This window comes from Homo sapiens, chromosome 8 (genome assembly GCF_000001405.40).
Source record: "Homo sapiens chromosome 8, GRCh38.p14 Primary Assembly".
NCBI lineage: Eukaryota > Metazoa > Chordata > Mammalia > Primates > Hominidae > Homo > Homo sapiens.
Genome location: NC_000008.11, coordinates 81650214 through 81667170, shown reverse-complemented (window position 1 = coordinate 81667170; position 16957 = coordinate 81650214). Strand labels below are relative to the sequence as shown.

General features: G+C 36.1%; 1 protein-coding gene across 3 annotated transcripts in view; it reads left to right on the top strand.

Moving 5' to 3' along the window:
* IMPA1 (inositol monophosphatase 1) overlaps positions 1–10257 on the top strand; it is a 29412-nt gene extending 19155 nt beyond the window's left edge. For all 3 annotated transcript variants that reach the window (NM_001144879.2, NM_005536.4, NM_001144878.2), the window contains 2 exons: positions 6504–6655; positions 7705–10257. In NM_001144879.2, coding sequence (NP_001138351.1) covers positions 6504–6643 — 140 coding nt within the window. In that variant the 3' untranslated portion in view covers positions 6644–6655; positions 7705–10257. The remainder of the gene's footprint in view (positions 1–6503; positions 6656–7704) is intronic.

Sequence of the window (16957 nt, the reverse complement as noted above, 5' to 3'; positions counted from 1 at the left end):
ATTCAGTATATAGCCAAAAGATTTACCTAATTAATTTTTTTTGTCTATTTGCCCTGTCTTATACTGAGAGTCTCTGATGTATCAGTCTTTTATTATTAGTGTGTTTCTCTGTATTTCTCCTTGCAACTCTTTTATGTAGGTGGAAGCTGTGTTATTTGATGTTTATTCATAATAGTTACATACGTAGTTCATTGTGTAATTTTTACGTATTCTTTGTCTTGTTTCATGTTTTTGTGCTTGAAATTTACTTTGACATCAGAATTGCAATTCCTGCTTTTTTTTTTTTTTTTTTTTTTTTTTTGAGACAGAGTCTCCCTCTGTCACCCAGGCTGGAGTGCAGTGGCACAATCTCGGTTCACTGCAACCTGCGCCTCCCAGGTTCAAGCAGTTCTCCTGCCTCAGCCTCCTGAGTAGCTGGGATTACAGCTACGCACCACCATGCCCGGCTTTTGTATTTTTAGTAGAGACAGGGTTTCGCCATGTTGGCCAGGCTGGTCTGGAACTCCTGACCTCAAGTGATCCACCCACCTCTGCCTCCCAAAGTTCTGGGATTACAGGCGTGAGCCACTGTGCCTGGCCCCTGCTTTCTTATTTTTCCTGTTTGCCTGATAAATCTTTGTCCACCCTTTTATTTTTAGTCCTTTGAACCACTGCATTTGAAGTGTGCCTGTCATATACAGCATTGCATGGAATTTCACTTTATAAGTCAATTTGAAAATCTTTTTCTTTTAACAGATAGGTTAGGCCTATTGATTTATTGATATGACTGTTTTTGTCTCAATTCTGTTGTATTATTGTGTGGTATAATTACTGTCTGTATGATGTTATAGTTACTGCGTTCATTTGATGTGCCTTCTCTGCCTCTTTTAAAATTTATTTTTGTATTTATAAAGATTACATTTTATTCCAGCAGGTTTCTTTTGTAATACAACTTTTATAGTACCTTTAATATTATTTTCTTACTTAACTATTTACTATCTAGAATGTTTTGGCTTCGCCTATTGCCTATGTAAGTCTCCCATTCCCCTTTTCTCTCTCTTTATCCCATTTTTAAAGTTGCATTCTGTCTACTTTGCCAGAACATATTATATTTACATATTCTTCAACCCATGACCCCGCTTTTTGATCCTAGTTCTTCATTTAACATTATAAAATGCTCACAGTCCTTTTGTGAAGTGTTGCAGGCACCTTTTTAATTGGTTGAAGTTCGTCCTCTAGTAGATTCCTTGGGGGAGGGCACATGTGCACAGTTTTCCCTGAGTTTGGGTATTTTCCAAAATGCTTTTCTGTGGCCTTGAGACTTGAAGGACAGCTTGGCTGGATATAGTATCCTTAATGAAAGTATAAATTTCTTGAAAATGTTCTTTCACTGTTGCCTTGCTTTGTATATTGTTTTTGAGAAATCTGATGCAAATCTAATTTTTCTTGGCTTTTACATTATTTTATCTTTTAACTGGAGGCTGTTTTTTTTCCCCTGAATTTTTGGCTAACAGTTTTTAAAGGATATATCTTAGAATTGCTCATTCTGGGTCAGTCGTGTGTTTCAGTATATAGGTTCATGTCTTTTTAATTTCTGGGAAGTTTCCTTAAGATATAGTTTAAGTACTAGTGCACTTCTGTTATTTTTTTCTTTAAAGACACCAGTGGGAATGCTCCATCTCCTTTGTGTCTTCATTTCAGCCATTTTCTCTCTGTCTCTTTTTACTTCTTTCTTTTATTGCTTTTCCTAATTTCTCTTTATTAAGTTTTCTTATCATCTGTTCTTTTATTGGCACCTTGTAATTTATTCTTCGTTCCTGACATAATTTTGTCTTTTATTTCCCCCCCATTTCTTTCCTGAGTTCAGTCATCTTGTTTTATGTACGTATTTTGGTCCATTTGTGCTCTTAGTTTCTATATCGCTGATGTAACATTTTTTTCAGTATTCACAAGTTTTTGTTTGAAAATATTTAATTCGGATTCGATTGATATTCATTTTATTCCCCTTCATTGTTGGTTTTGGGGGAGAGACTTTACAGCAAAAAGAAAAAACAAAACCATTTTATTAACAGCGTTCGATGTTTTGCAGTAGTTTTGTGTGAATGTGGTCTACTTTTTTCTATTTTCACTTCGTTTTGTGATCAGGGTTCCTGCTTTCTGAATTTCTTATTTTGCCAGTTGTGCCTTTCTGTGCATTTTCTTTTATGAATACCTGCTGGTTGTAGATAGAGTTGGCTTGTCTTGTTTATCATTCATTTCTGCAGGGTCCTTAAGTTTTCACTCTTTTTTTTTTTCTTTTTTTCCTTTTTCTTTTTTTTGTTATTATTATACTTTAAGTTTTAGGGTACATGTGCACAATGTGCAGGTTAGTTACATATGTATACATGTGCCATGCTGGTGTGCTGCACGCATTAACTCGTCATTTAGCATTAGGTATATCTCCTAATGCTATCCCTCCCCCGTCCCCGCACCCCTTAGTTCCTACTTTTCCTTCACTTGTTTCCAAGGAGTACCATCTCTGCTATCTTATTTGATTCTCCTTCAGAATCACAGCTTCTCTGAGGCTGCCTGGTCAGGTTCTGAGTGTTTTCTAGCCCCTTACCTCTAGCCAAGACTATGAATTACCAAGTGCTGATCTGTGCTCAGTGTTTTTGTTTTTGTGTTTATTGTCTCAGTGACTCTTTTCTGAGGGTGGTTTTGTCTTTGTTCCCTGTGGGTCCTCTGCTCCTCCTTGTTCTTTCTCACAAAGTCTTTTCTGCCTTCTCTGCCCTACTCTGTGTATCTACGGGCTTCCGGTGCTCTGTTAGAATTTATTTATTTGTTTTTCTTCTACTTAGAGGTAGTTTGAGAGTTTGCATTTCCTGATTTCTATCTGAAAGAATGGGTCCTATGGGTTTTATTTGTCCTCCTGGTTGATTTCATTTTATTATTTTCCAGGAGGGTATACAGGGAGTTTCAAAATCGTCATGCTATTATTATTCTCCAAATCTCAGAGTCCCTCTGTAATGACAGTTTAATAAATGAAGAAATTAAAAGGAAATATTTATCCTTACTTTTATCCTTAAATCTTCAAGAAAAGCTAAAGGTTTGAGGTCCTTAACTTTAATATAGTTAATGCTATATATTATTTTATTTTTTATGTATTTATTTTTTTTTCTGAGACGGAGTCTCTGTCGCCAGGCTGGAGTCCAATGGTGCAATCTTGGCTCACTGCAACCTCCGCCTCCGGGGTTCAAGTGATTCTCCTGCCTTTGTCTCTGGAGTAGCTGGGACTACAGGTGCCCGCCACCACGCCTGGCTAATTTTTTGTATTTTTAGTAGAGATGGGGTTTCACCATGTTAGCCAGGATGGTCTTGATCTCTTGACCTCGTGATTCACCTGCCTTGGCCTCCCAAAGTGCTGGGATTACAGGCCTGAGCCACTGCGCCCCGCCATTAAATAGTATTTCTTTGACCATAGTTGTTTATATGAAAAATCATAATAAAAATCCTTTATTGAACAAAATCTGGTGAATGTAAATAACAACATAATATTTTCACCACCTACTATTTCTGTCTTTTTCTTTGTGAAAATATTATCAATGAGTTATAAGAGTCCTAGAACTGATCAAAGATCATCTAATAATCCAGCCTTATTTTGTAGGTGAGTTGACTGAGATTCAAGTAGGTGATGTGGCTGCTTGAGATCGCACAGCTGGATAGAAATAGGGCTAGAATCCTGGCTCCCAGATCATTTCTGTTTCTTCAATATTGGACTTCTCTTAGAAGTCAGACCCTTCAAAATATAGGTTGACCATGTACAAACTAATTATGTACTATGCATATGTGGTCTATATAGTAATGAGTAAAGTAAAAGAGAGCCTCTGTCAATAGCTACAGAACCTCCCAGAATGATGCCCTTGAGAGAAGGGCAATAAACTTGCTGCTACAGTGTGCTGTCTTGAAGCAAGGACTTTAACCATGGGCTATAAAATGGTTATGTTACTCATAAACGAGTTGCAAGAGGTTTACAACTTTAACCTTTAATTTTGCTGTTGGCTGAAATAAAAACTAATTTTTACTTCAGATTTTTTTCAAAAGTATAACCAGGAAAATATTACTAAGAAGTACTGACTTACTGATTGCTTTTATGATCTTTTGCATTCAGCTGATTCTTCAGCTTTGCAGTGGGATTTCAGAATCACTTATACAAAACAATGAAACTAAAGAGAGTTATAATCTGAATGAATGCTTTAAATAAGCAGAAATAGTCTAATAGGTTCCTAAGAACCAACATTTATGAGGCAAAGTACGTTATTCTGGATCAATTTCCTTTGTTTAATTTTCAGGAATTCATGTAGATGAAATTCACTATGTATGGTATATGATATTTTCTGACATCATGGTTTAGAGAACAATTTTATCATAAAAAAAGCTATTTTTATTATGGACATTTTATATGCTAGGCACTCTGCTAGGTGCTTTACAAATATTAGCTGTAGTCATTAGTACATTTGTCTAAAGTAAATTGGAATCCTTATTTGATGACATGACATGGGAGCAAACTCAAATCTTTGTGACATCAAACATAATCCTTTTTACAATGTGCCATGTTAGCTGCATAGGCGGACCACAGCTGTATAGGAGGACCACATAAGATAGGATTCAGAACACATAGTGCAGAATCTACACCATAGTCTTAATTATCTGGTAGTTAAGTAATCTGTTTGGTAATCCTTTCATAGTATTTTCCATAAAAGAATATTCTCTTGCTGATTGTAAGACCATTTGCTTGAGATCCCATGGTGCTCATTAGAAGTGACGGAAGCACCGCTAGTAGATATCACTGTTGTTTGGCTAGCCTAGGATTCTATATCTGAATAGAGTACCAGGGAATTAATTATGAAAGACCTTGGTATTTGCATTCTATGATATGAGATATCAAATATCACATATCTCATGGGAGAAGTGGGGAAATGCACTTTTCTTTATAACTAAAAAACTGCCACTAAAGTTAATTTGATTTTATTTATCTGGGAAACAAACATCTGTGGAAATTTGGTGCACTTACTACTACTTTCTCAAATTTAATGTGCTTCAAAAACATATGATGGAAAACATGCCAAATCAATGACATCATGTTATTCTAATCCTTTTTAAAATTTATTTGGCATAAAGGATGTACTTAGGTGCAATTTTTTTATTTTTATTTTTGAGATATAAAACAAATGCCACATTAGTCATCAGTTTTCCATGTTTTTAAATAAATAAACTGTGAAAGATCTCATTGAACAGAACTCACTCCCTTATTACCATCGCTTTAAACAGTTGGAGAAGGAATTTGTGTAAAAACCACTTGAAAGTAACTTGTAGACATGATGACGTTTGTCTTCTAAATACACATTTCAGCGTGTGTGTCTTTAATAAAAGGGACATTGTCTAACATAGCCACAGTACAATGATAAAAGTAAGGGAATTAACATGGATACATAATCTAATATAAGACTTTATTCAAATTTTGAAAATTTTAATCCAACATCCAGTCTAGAGTCATGTATTGCATTTAGTTGTCATTTCTCATCAATTTCCTTTAATTTAGAACTTGCTTAGTCTTTGTCTTTTATCACCTTGACATTTTTCAGAAGTATAGGCCAATTATTTTGTAGTCTGTCTCTTGAATTTGAATTTGTCTGGTTTCCTCATGATTATATTTGGATCATGGATTTTTGGCAGGAATGCCGCAAAAGTAATGTTCTGTCCTTCTCAGTGCATTTTATCAGGCACATTTCTTTTTGTCCCATTATGAGTGATATTAACTTGGATAACTTGGTAATGGTAGACCATTGTAAAGATGCTATTTTTCCATTGTACTTATTATGTATCTTGTGGAGAGACACTTTGACACTCTGTAAATTATCAGACTCACCCATTAATTTTAACATTGATTCTTTACTGAATAAATTATTACTATAATTGCTATCAAGTGTATTTATATTCAACTTAACTTGTATTCAAGGAAGAGGTGCTATGAGAGGGCAAACCTGCAGTAATTTTCCAAGGCAGGCTTAGGTCTTTGCAGAGCCTGGCATGCTGTTGTTGCTTTAGGCACATGTATGACGCACACCCAGTTGAAAATGACCCATACCATGATATTTTACACCTCCTAGAGACTATTTGCATTGTGGGTATGTGTATATGTGTGTAAAATAATATAAGCTTTAGTAGCTGGATTTAGACAAATATTAATATACTTGCATTTCATTATTGTAGAATTAAGCATTGTCTTTATTTTTTATGAAAAATTATTGTTTTAATGTTTATCTTATTAAATTATTGCTTTGTGAGGGTTTTGTGATTTATATAATATACGATGATAATTAGATTTATACATATTTTTATTTTACAATTAGATATCACCTCTTAAAATCTTTATCCTCTAGATCGTTCCAAGTTTCTTCAATCGACACTTAAAGTGAAGTTAAGGAGGAATATCTTACTTGAAAGGATTATTTTTTCCAATTTTATTTCTAAATTCTATTTGTTAGGATCCGGAGTGTTGGAACAGCAGCTGTTAATATGTGCCTTGTGGCAACTGGCGGAGCAGATGCATATTATGAAATGGGAATTCACTGCTGGGATGTTGCAGGAGCTGGCATTATTGTTACTGAAGCTGGTGGCGTGCTAATGGATGTTACAGGTAAAATTATGGAGAGTGAAGCAGATCTCCACACATCTGTTGGACTTTTGTCCATATGTAGAATTTAAAAAACTTTTTGATATATGTTATACTGCAGTTTTTGAAGCAGAAACAAGCTATATAATTGTGTGCAAAATCAAAATAAGCTTTAGGAGATAGAGGTAAGGATAAGAGGTAATGGTAATGTGAGACTTACAATGATAAATGGCTAATCCTTTTCTAGTGTGAGTTTCAGGTACTCCTGAAAGGCTGTAGAAAAAGCCTAGACCAAGTTTGTCCAACCTGCAGTCCATGGGCCACATGTGGCTCAGGATGGCTTTGAATGTGGCCCAACACAACTTTGTAAACTTTCTTAAAACATAATGAGTTTTTTGCGATTAAAAAAATTTTTTTTAGCTCATCAGCCGTCATTAGTGCTAGTGTATTTTATGTGTGGCCCAAGACAATTCTTATTCTTCCAGTGTGGCCCAGGGAAGCCAAAATATTCGACACCCTTGGCCTAGACAGTCACCGAGTCTGAGGCTTATACCCAGAGCTCTTTGAATGGTGACAATGGTGATAGTTGATGATGGACTTCCTCCACCATCACTTTCTGTGTTGAGACTAGAGAAGTTAAATAATTGCTTTCAACTGATGGTGAAAATTTTAAACCGAAGGGTGAATCTGTGCTGAAAGAATTCACCAGTGATCTGGGAGAAAGGCAACAAAGAAATAAGGAAATGGGAAGGACAGTGGTATGAAAATGCATTGGATTCACATTTTCTGTCCATAGATTCTTAAACAATAAAGAGGTAATAAGAATGCACAAAAATAGAGAAAATATGACATTTTCTAACTGGTATGACTTCATTATTTACTCAAAAATTATGCTTAGAAACAGTTATATATTGTCTAAGCTTATACATTGTAGAAATGTAACAGTAGATTTTTGTTTAAGAAAACTGAAAGTATTAAAATGTTATGTGACCATAGTACATATTGCTATACTTGTTTTATATGAATTATTTTTGTACCAGATAAAATTATTTTTCATACTTGTTTGCTTTTAGGTGGACCATTTGATTTGATGTCACGAAGAGTAATTGCTGCAAATAATAGAATATTAGCAGAAAGGATAGCTAAAGAAATTCAGGTTATACCTTTGCAACGAGACGACGAAGATTAATTAAGGCAGCCTCATAGTCAATCCCAGTTGCTTTTCCCCAGATTTGGTGACTCATCAATGGATATGTGTTTTGGATGTATGATATGCTTGGTTTAAATTCTCTTTGTCCAGGTCAAAAATTTGGAACTTGTTTCTTATTTTACTATGTCTAGGTTTGCAAGAATTGACATAATGTTTGTTTCACTGATTTAAAAAATTTTGCATGTAAGAATGTACTTTAGGAAACATACCCAGGAAGTACAGTTGATAAATATAACATCAACTGAAATAGTCAATTAGCAATTTTGTGTTTCTAAATATCTATGGTCCCCTGAAATTTTGACTTAGTATATAGGTGCAGAGACACCCACTTAGAAAGTTAACTGTTTGGAAAAACATTTCTCTTTAGTTTCAAAAACCATATATAATTAAATTTGTAAGGATATACTGAGTACCCTAGGCCAACTTTTTTTTCTTTGCAGAGAACCTTTTTTGTTTTATTCTTCAGTGTTCATATAGCACCTGGCCCATTACATATCTAGGCAACTAAAAACAAACATTGTAAGAATGAATATTTTTAATGTAGTAATTCCTAGTTACAATAGATACATAAAGTAATGAACTCAGCATTCTGTACTTTTGCTTCAGGTTTGAAGTAAAAATTATCTAGTTAAATTTTTTTTATTTCACGTTACCATGCCATTTCACATTACCATACCATCAGATAGCATGGCTTATTGTGGGCATTTCTGCAGTGAATACATTTTCCAAAACAGTTAAATTGTCTGTTTGGATTTGCTTTAAAGTCTTGTGTAAGAGAGAAGAAACTATTTCTATAATAAAAAGCACTCTCATCAGATATCTGACATAATTAGATACAATATAACATTTTACTAAGTTCAGTATTCATGTTTTAAAGGTGTTTATACTGATTTGATTGTGCTGGCAAATATACTGTATTGTTAATATTGAACTGTTTATTTTTCTCTTAGTCTTCTTATTTAATTAACTTCATTGCCGCTGGATTCTGTTCAGCCTTTAAAAATATTTCTTAGTGGTCATTGCTCTGCAGAACTCAAAAAGAAAATTGTACTTGTTCATAGACATTTTTAAAGGGTTAATTTATTGTTCAGCCTTATCCCTTGGCACGTAAACAGACTACTAGACTTATTGTAGGTTCGTTTGAGCTTTGTGTTGTAAAATTAAAAATGCTTCTGTAAAGTTTTCAAGGTAGGGAGTGATTTTATTATTGTGTATATCTAATATATTAAGTATGTGTGATACTAAGGTTTGACTGCTATAATTATTTGTACTGTTGATCACATGTACTTAAAACATCTGATACTGTATTCTAAGACAGGTTGTTTTTGCAATTAAATTTATTTTAATAAGACGATCATGAATAAAACTTTAAATTGATATTTTTATTATTATTACCATTATCATTATTATTATTTTTAGATTCAGGGTCTCGCTCTGTTGCCCAGGGTCTGTCTCTGACTGTGCTGTGGTGCAGTCATAGCTCACTGTATCCTTAAATTCCTGGGCTCAAGTGATCCTCCTCTTTCAGTCTCCTGAGTAGCTGGGACTATAAGTTCATGCCACCATGCCCTACTAATGTTTTAATTTTATTTTTGTAAAGATGGGATCTTCCTATGTTTTCCAGGCCCCTTGGCCTCCCAAAGTGCTGGGATTACAGATGTGAGCCACCGAGCCAGGCCATGATATTTACATTATTAAAGTTAATAGTTCAAACTACTTTTAGAGGCTTTGTTTTGTTTTTGTTTTTTGAAGACAGTGTCTTGCTCTTCTGCTCAAACAGTAATGCAGTGGCATGATCACCATTCATTGCAGTCTCAACCTTCTGGGCTCAAGCAGTCCTCCCACCTCAGCCTCCCTAGTAACTGGAACCACAGGCACATGCCACCATGCCTGGCTAATTTTTTAGTTTTTGTAGAGACAGAATCTTCCTATGTTGCTTAGGCTGGTCTCATTGGGCTCAAGTGATCCTCCTGCCTCAGCCTTCTAAAGTGCTGGGATTACAGATGTGAGCCATTGCACCCAACATACTTTTAGAGGTTTTTGTGTTGAGTTACAAATATTTGAAACTTGCAAATGTAATTTAATATATGTTCTTATTTTTTGCCTGTAATCTTTCCAACTTTTCTAAAAACCTATATTTTTTTCTACAATAGCTTTTCCATCTGTTTATTCTAAATGCAGTTGCATATTTTGTGTCTGAAATTTCTTTAGATGCTGAAAAAGGATGATCGACAAGTGAATTATCTAATAATATTTGAAAATATTTCTTTGAGTAACAGGACTTCTTAGACTTAACATGTATATTTTGTATCAGGGTATATTATCTTTCTGCATGTGGATACATACACAGATACATACATAAATATACATAAATATATGTACTTGAACACATAAAATATATGTACTTGCCTTTTAACGAAATTGTGTTCATTCTATCCTATACTTACTTGTGAAGCATTATTTGGCTTTGTTATGAATTACCAGCCATTCTTAGAATTGGTTTACAATGCTAAGTCAGAAGTTTTCCTGGGATATGTATTATTCTGACTAATTTGTCCTTAATTTTAAGATCTAGTGTAGAGCCTAAAATACCATGTTTGAAGAAAACAAAAATAATTATTTTAAACTGTTTCCTTTTACCTCAGTTCCCTATGTTTACCCTGCCTCATTTAGAAAAAATACGTACTTTTTATTACTGTCTATTTAGTCACACACATAGTTTAAAATTTCAAATACTGCTACACAGTTCAGAATGAAAACCAGCATTTTCCTGTTCCATTCTATCCCACCCTAGTTTATCTCCTCAAACTCTTTTAGCAGTTGTTGCTGGTATTTACCTCCATCTTTGAAAAGGATAGATATGTTCTACTAAATCTTTATTTATTGGCTTCACTCCATCTCAGTTAACTTGGTATTATGGAAGCAGACCCCATGAGTTGCTTTTCTGTCCTCTTTTCCATCCTTCTACAATAGTGATATATAAAATTTTTTGCTAAAATTATGTCCATTGTTTAACTTACGACTTTTATTAATTGGTTAGCTAGCAAGTAGTGTGTTATGATTACAGTTTCTTTCCTGTGCAACTTTTTATACTTTCTGAAATTAACAGATTTCTCCCAGGATTTTCCATTGGTTCACCATACTTAAGTATTCTGTTGTGTGAGAACTATTTTCTTTTCTCTCTGGAGATAGCCCTTTTGGGGCCCTTTTCCTTTTCTTCTGTTTGAACTGGTTTCTGGCTGGGTATGCTGCACTGTCCTTCAGGGCTTGCCTCTGCTTCTATGCTGAATTTTCCATATCCTGGGTCTTTCTTAGCTCATTTTGATGAGCCCATCTTCCAAGTGCTTCCTGTGAAAGGTACTTGGGAGGTAAAATTTTGTGATCTCTGGTATCAGCAGATGTCTATTCCTGCTTGCTGCATTCATAGTTTGCCTAGGTCTAGAACTCTAGGTTGCAGCAGTGTTTCCCTCGGAATTTTTAAAGCATTGCTTCACTCTCAGAGCTTTCAGCATTGCTGATGAGACACTGTTGTGACGGTCACTCCATCAGTGTGTACTCTTTTCTGTTGAAGATTTTAGGATTTTCTCTTATCTAGAGTTTTCTGATTTCCCTGTGATGATCATTGACTTACGTCTTTTTCATTCTTTGTGTTAATTTTTCGTGTCTTTTTGTGCTGGAAATTCCTCCAGTCTTAAGGGTTTTGTTTCTGTGGTAACTTCCCCCCTTCCTTAGTCTCTTTCTTCTCTTTCTAGAATTTCTGTTATTCAGTTGTTGAATCCTCTATATTTATCAACTTATTTCCTCTGTTTAACATCTTTTTGCAGCTGGGCACAGTGGCTCACGCCTGTAATCCCAGCACTTTGGGAGGCCGAGGCAGGTGGATCACCTGAGGTCAGGAGTTCAAGACCAGCCTGGCTAACATGGCGAAACCTCGTCTCTACTAAAAATACAAAAATTAGCTGGGCGTGGTGGCGGGCGCCTGTAATCCCAGCTACTCGGGAGGCTGAGGCAGGAGAATCGCTTGAACTTGGGAGGTGGAGGTTGTAGTGAGCCGAGATCGAGCCACTGTACTCCAGCCTCGTCAATAAGAGTGAAACTCCATCTCAAAAAAAAACAAAAAAACAAAAAAAAAATCTCTTTGCTTTAGTTTCTAGGAGATTTCCATATCTTTATCTTCCAACCTATTAACTTTTAAAAAATCACTGTGTTCTGATTTCATTGACTAAATATGTTATCTTTCTATGATATTCTTTTATATATTTTAAAACATATTCTAGGTCCTGCATTGTCCCTTTCAAGTTCCTCAATTTTTAGTTGCTTTTTGTTCTTTGGTTGTATTTTTTATTTGTTCTCTTTCATTTTTTGGCATCCTCAACTATCTAATGGTCCTTTGTTTTATAAATGTACTAAAATGTATGAGATACTGGTAAAAGTACTGCTAATAGGGAAATCTATAACCTTAGCTGGAAATTAGGGAAATAGAGGGATTGACTGTTAGAAATAAAAATATTTCATAGTCTATGTGATTGTCCACTTAGAAAATCCAAAAGAATCTGCAGACAAACCATTAGAATTAGTGTCTTTAGTGATGTCACTAGAGATAAGGTCAGTGTACAGAAATTAACTGCATTTGTATAAGCTAGCAATACTTAAGATAGAATTTGGTGAAGATAGCATTTACAGTAATGTTTTTTAAAGCCATCAGATACCTAGAAATTGTTCTGACAAACATGTAAAAACTCCACACAGGAAAAACTACAAAGCCAAAATATTGCTGTGAAAAATATAAAAGATCATAGTAGATGGCATAATATACTATGTTTATGGTTTGGGACACTCAATATTGCCCAGATGGCAATCCTTCCCAAATTTATCTGCAGATTTAAGAAAATCTCAGTAATGCTTGGGGGAGGGAGTAAAGAGGGAGGACTGAAATGTATATGAAATATAGAGAGCCCAAAATAGCTAAAACCATTTTAAAGCAGAAGAGCAATGTTAGAAGACTAGACCACTAGATACCAAGACTTGTAGAGCTCTGTAATTAAAACAGTGATATTAGCACAAGGCTAGACAAATAGACCAGTGGGACAGAGCGTCCAGAAATAAACCCAAATGTATAGAACTATCTAGTTGATGAAAATGATGTCATTGCAATGTAGTAAGGAAATGATCGTCTTTTCAATAAGTGGTATGGAAGCAGTTGGATATCCATATTAAAGGAGAACATAGAATATTGGTCCCATCATGCCATGCACACAAATCAATTCCAGATGATCCTAGACCTAAAAATAAAAGGTGAAAGAAAGCTTCTAGAAGATAGCATATCTTCCTGTCCTTGGTAGGCAAAGACAGGGTACAAAAAACAGGATACAAAAAAGCACTGACCCTAAAGAAAGACTGACAAATTGGGCTGCATTAATAGGTTTGCATCAAAATACACCGTTAAGAGAGAAGGGCAACCCACAGAGTTTGCAATACATCTATCTGAGAAATTATAATGAGGCTATAAATAACTCCTATGTAGCAAAAAAAAAAGATCCAATTACAAAATAGGCAAATAATTTTACTACATACTCCACAAAATTATATATTCAAACAATAAAAAATAAAAGTGTTCAATGTTATTTGTCATCCCAAAAATGCAAATTAAAACAATCTTATACCACTACATACATCAGAATGGCTAAAGCAAATAATAAATCCAGTGAACACATAAACTAAATAACCCCCCAACATCATATGCTATTGCCGGGGATGTACATTGGTATAACTACTTTAGGAAACTCTGGTGGTATCTACTAAAGCTAATCATCTGTTTGTCATAGGATCCAGCAGCTTCATTCCTCTGCACCTATTCAGCATACATGCACACATATATCACCAAAAGGCACATACAGCTATGTTCGTAGTAGCATTCTGTTATATGAGCCCTAAACGGTAAACAATGCAAAAGTCTACCAGTAACAGATGGATTTTCTTTTTCTTTTTTTTTTTTTTTTTTGAGGTGGAGTCTCACTCTTGCCCAGGCTGGGGTGCAGTGGCTTGATCATGGCTCACTGCAACCTTGAATTCCTGGGTTCCAGCAATCCTCCCACCTCAGCCTCCTGAGTAGCTGGACCTACAGGCAGGTGCCACCATGCTCGGCTAATTTAAACAAATTTTTTTCTTTTTAGACATGGGGTGTTGCTGTGTTGCCCAGGCTGAATCTCAAATTCCTGGGCTCAAGGATCCTCCCCCCTTGGCCTCTCAAGTGCTGGATTACAAGCCTGCGCTACCGGGCTGGGCTGGTGGTTTCTCTTCTATCAAGTCACTGTAGGGAAACTCATGCATGCCCCATGACTTCAATCATCATATCCATTCTATTGACTCAATCTTGACCTACAGCCCATATTTTCTTTCTGAATTTCACCCCTTCCCTGCCACTGCCTCTGCTCTGCCCTGCTCCTTCCTGGATGCCCCCTTCTGACCATCCTCTACTTGATTTCAATATGTCTCAAATAAAACAAATGAATTTTTGCTCAGAATTTTCTGCTACTCAACTGTTTTCATTTTTCTCTGCCCTTTCAAGTTTAGCATTTGATATATTTGATGTTTCTCTTTCCCCAGTCCTCACATCCAATTTTTCATAGCCAAGTTTTTTTTTATCATTTGACCCCACCTAACATTCCCACTGAATACTCCTGCCAGACTGGACCAATAGCTCTTCACTGGCCTCCTCTGAACTTTTTCAGGTGATATTCCTTCTGCCCAGAACAGCTTACAGTAATAATAGGTTAATTTTTTTTATGAGTGTGAAGATAAAGTCACAGTGATTCTCCTTTCTCTGGGAATTGCTCCCAACAAATGGCTGTGCTTACTGTCACCATGTCTGTAGTTGGTGTGACTCTGTTCTCTGTTTACTTCAGAAGAGGATATCTGACTCAACAAGACAAGTGAAATTTGCTAGGGTATTGGAAATTTTGAACCCAAAGACAGATTGGAAATAATTGGAAATCACTTTAGGTCAGCACTGGATAAGAAGTAACATGTGTCTCAGGAGGCATCCTTCAGATTGAGCTGGGTGTCAGCATTCAATTCCACAAGGCTACCTGTTTAAGAAGAATGGAAATATTTCATAGGTAATATGTTCTAATTTCTAATATGTCATATGTAATATGTTCATTTCTTAGGTAGTTTCTTCCTCTAAATAGCTCTTAAAATATTTTCCTTGATAATGTTATTTATGATATTTAGCATTTGTTGAGTGCACTGTACCATGTGTTGTGTTAAGCACTAAATATTCATGATGATAATTAAACCTCACAATAACACCAGGAGAAGTTATTTTCATTGTACCAAAGCACATATTTAATTAGCCCAATTTCCCTGCTAAGGTGACACAGGTAAGTGGTGACACTCCTGCAGTGACACAGCGAGGGTGTGCAATCTTAACCCCCCTGCCCAGGGATCCTCCCCCTCAAGCTGCACATGGGAACCACCTGGGGAGGGTACAGACCGTCCACTGCTGGGGTCCCTCCTGAGTGGATCTGACTGACCAGGTTTGGAGGGTCGCCTGGCCATCTGTATATTTTTTTAAGTTTTCAGGTAACAATATCAGGCAGCCAGGATTGAGAATTATTTTGTTTTCCAAGAATAACTGATTTCTTAGAAGTAGCCAACTCACCTACTCACCCACCTCAACAAACCTCAGAGGGTCTTAGGGTATGACTTGATACCTTTACAAGGAAATGTTGCTGTGAGCCATGCCTTTGCCACCTGATGAGCCTGCTTGGAAATTATTATACCTGCCTTTTTTATTTCCACAAATTAACACTAGATGGCAAACTGCACACAGGGAATCATATTAAACATTTCCATTTCTGAAACACTTTATTTTTTCTTCAAATAACCTCATTAGCCAATATTTGAGTTTAGTAATATAGTATTAAAACCAAGAGAATTCTTCATAAATTGAATTACTCCAGGTCATGGGTTAACTAGCATTCCCTTCAGCAGAGCCGTAGGCACCCTGTATACACTATGGCTTGGATTTCAGTTGTCTTAAAGGTTCAGCTGTTAAAATATGTTTATTAATCATAAACATATAGAAAACAAAATACTTCCTTATCACACCTGAGAACACTTTTCCAACAATATATGTTAATATCCCTATTAAATAATTGACTCACTAATAAAAACGTTTACAAATACCTGCCTACCTTTCAGGGAGCTTTTCATATCTCTAGGGATACAAGGCAGGGGGTGCTTTGATACTACTATATGCCCACTTTCCTGTTCTTTTTCCTCAGAAACTGTTTGCTTGGATGATGAAGTAATGGAGGTGGGGTATGTGAGAAACAGTATGAGAGAAGTATACATTACTTACGTTGAGGAGCAGTGTAATAATATTGTCATTTATTTAGTCTCTCATAACTGGTAAAATACCTTCATATCCCTGACCTCGAAGTGGCAGCACTCATCCAGCTACCTCAGAGTTGACAACATCACTCATCAGACCTTACACATAAAGGTGAGGTGTGGGGGATTTGTTTTTTTTTTTTAATACTTTATGTATGTGTGTATGAATGAATGAATGAATGACAGTGTCTTGCTCTGTTGTTTAGAATGCAGTGGTGCCATCAGGCTCACTGTAACCTCGAATTCATAGACTCAGTTGACCTATTGACCTTCCCCGCTCAGTCTCCCAAATAGCTGGGACTACAGGCATGTGCCACGACACCTGGCTAATTTTTAAATTTTTTGTAGAGACTGGGTCTTGCTGTGTTCCCCAGGCTGATCTCAAACTCCTAGTCTCAAACAATCCTCCTGCCTCAGCCTGAAAAGTCCTGGGGTTACAGGCATGAGCCACCGTGCCTGGCCAGGTGTGAGGGATGTAGAGGTTCAAGTAATCTTTCTAAATGCAAATACATGATCACCAGCCTAATGGTTTCTCAGTTTTCTTGGGGTAAAGTCTAAATTCCTTAATTTGGATTAGAAGACCATTCACGATCTGGTCCCCTCTCCTTGCCGCTCAGCCTTTTCACCTCTAGCCTCACATACATAGAGGTCAGATTGGAGTTTTTTCAGCTTCTGCAGCATGCCTTCTTCTAGCTTATGAACCTTCACAACAAGCTGGC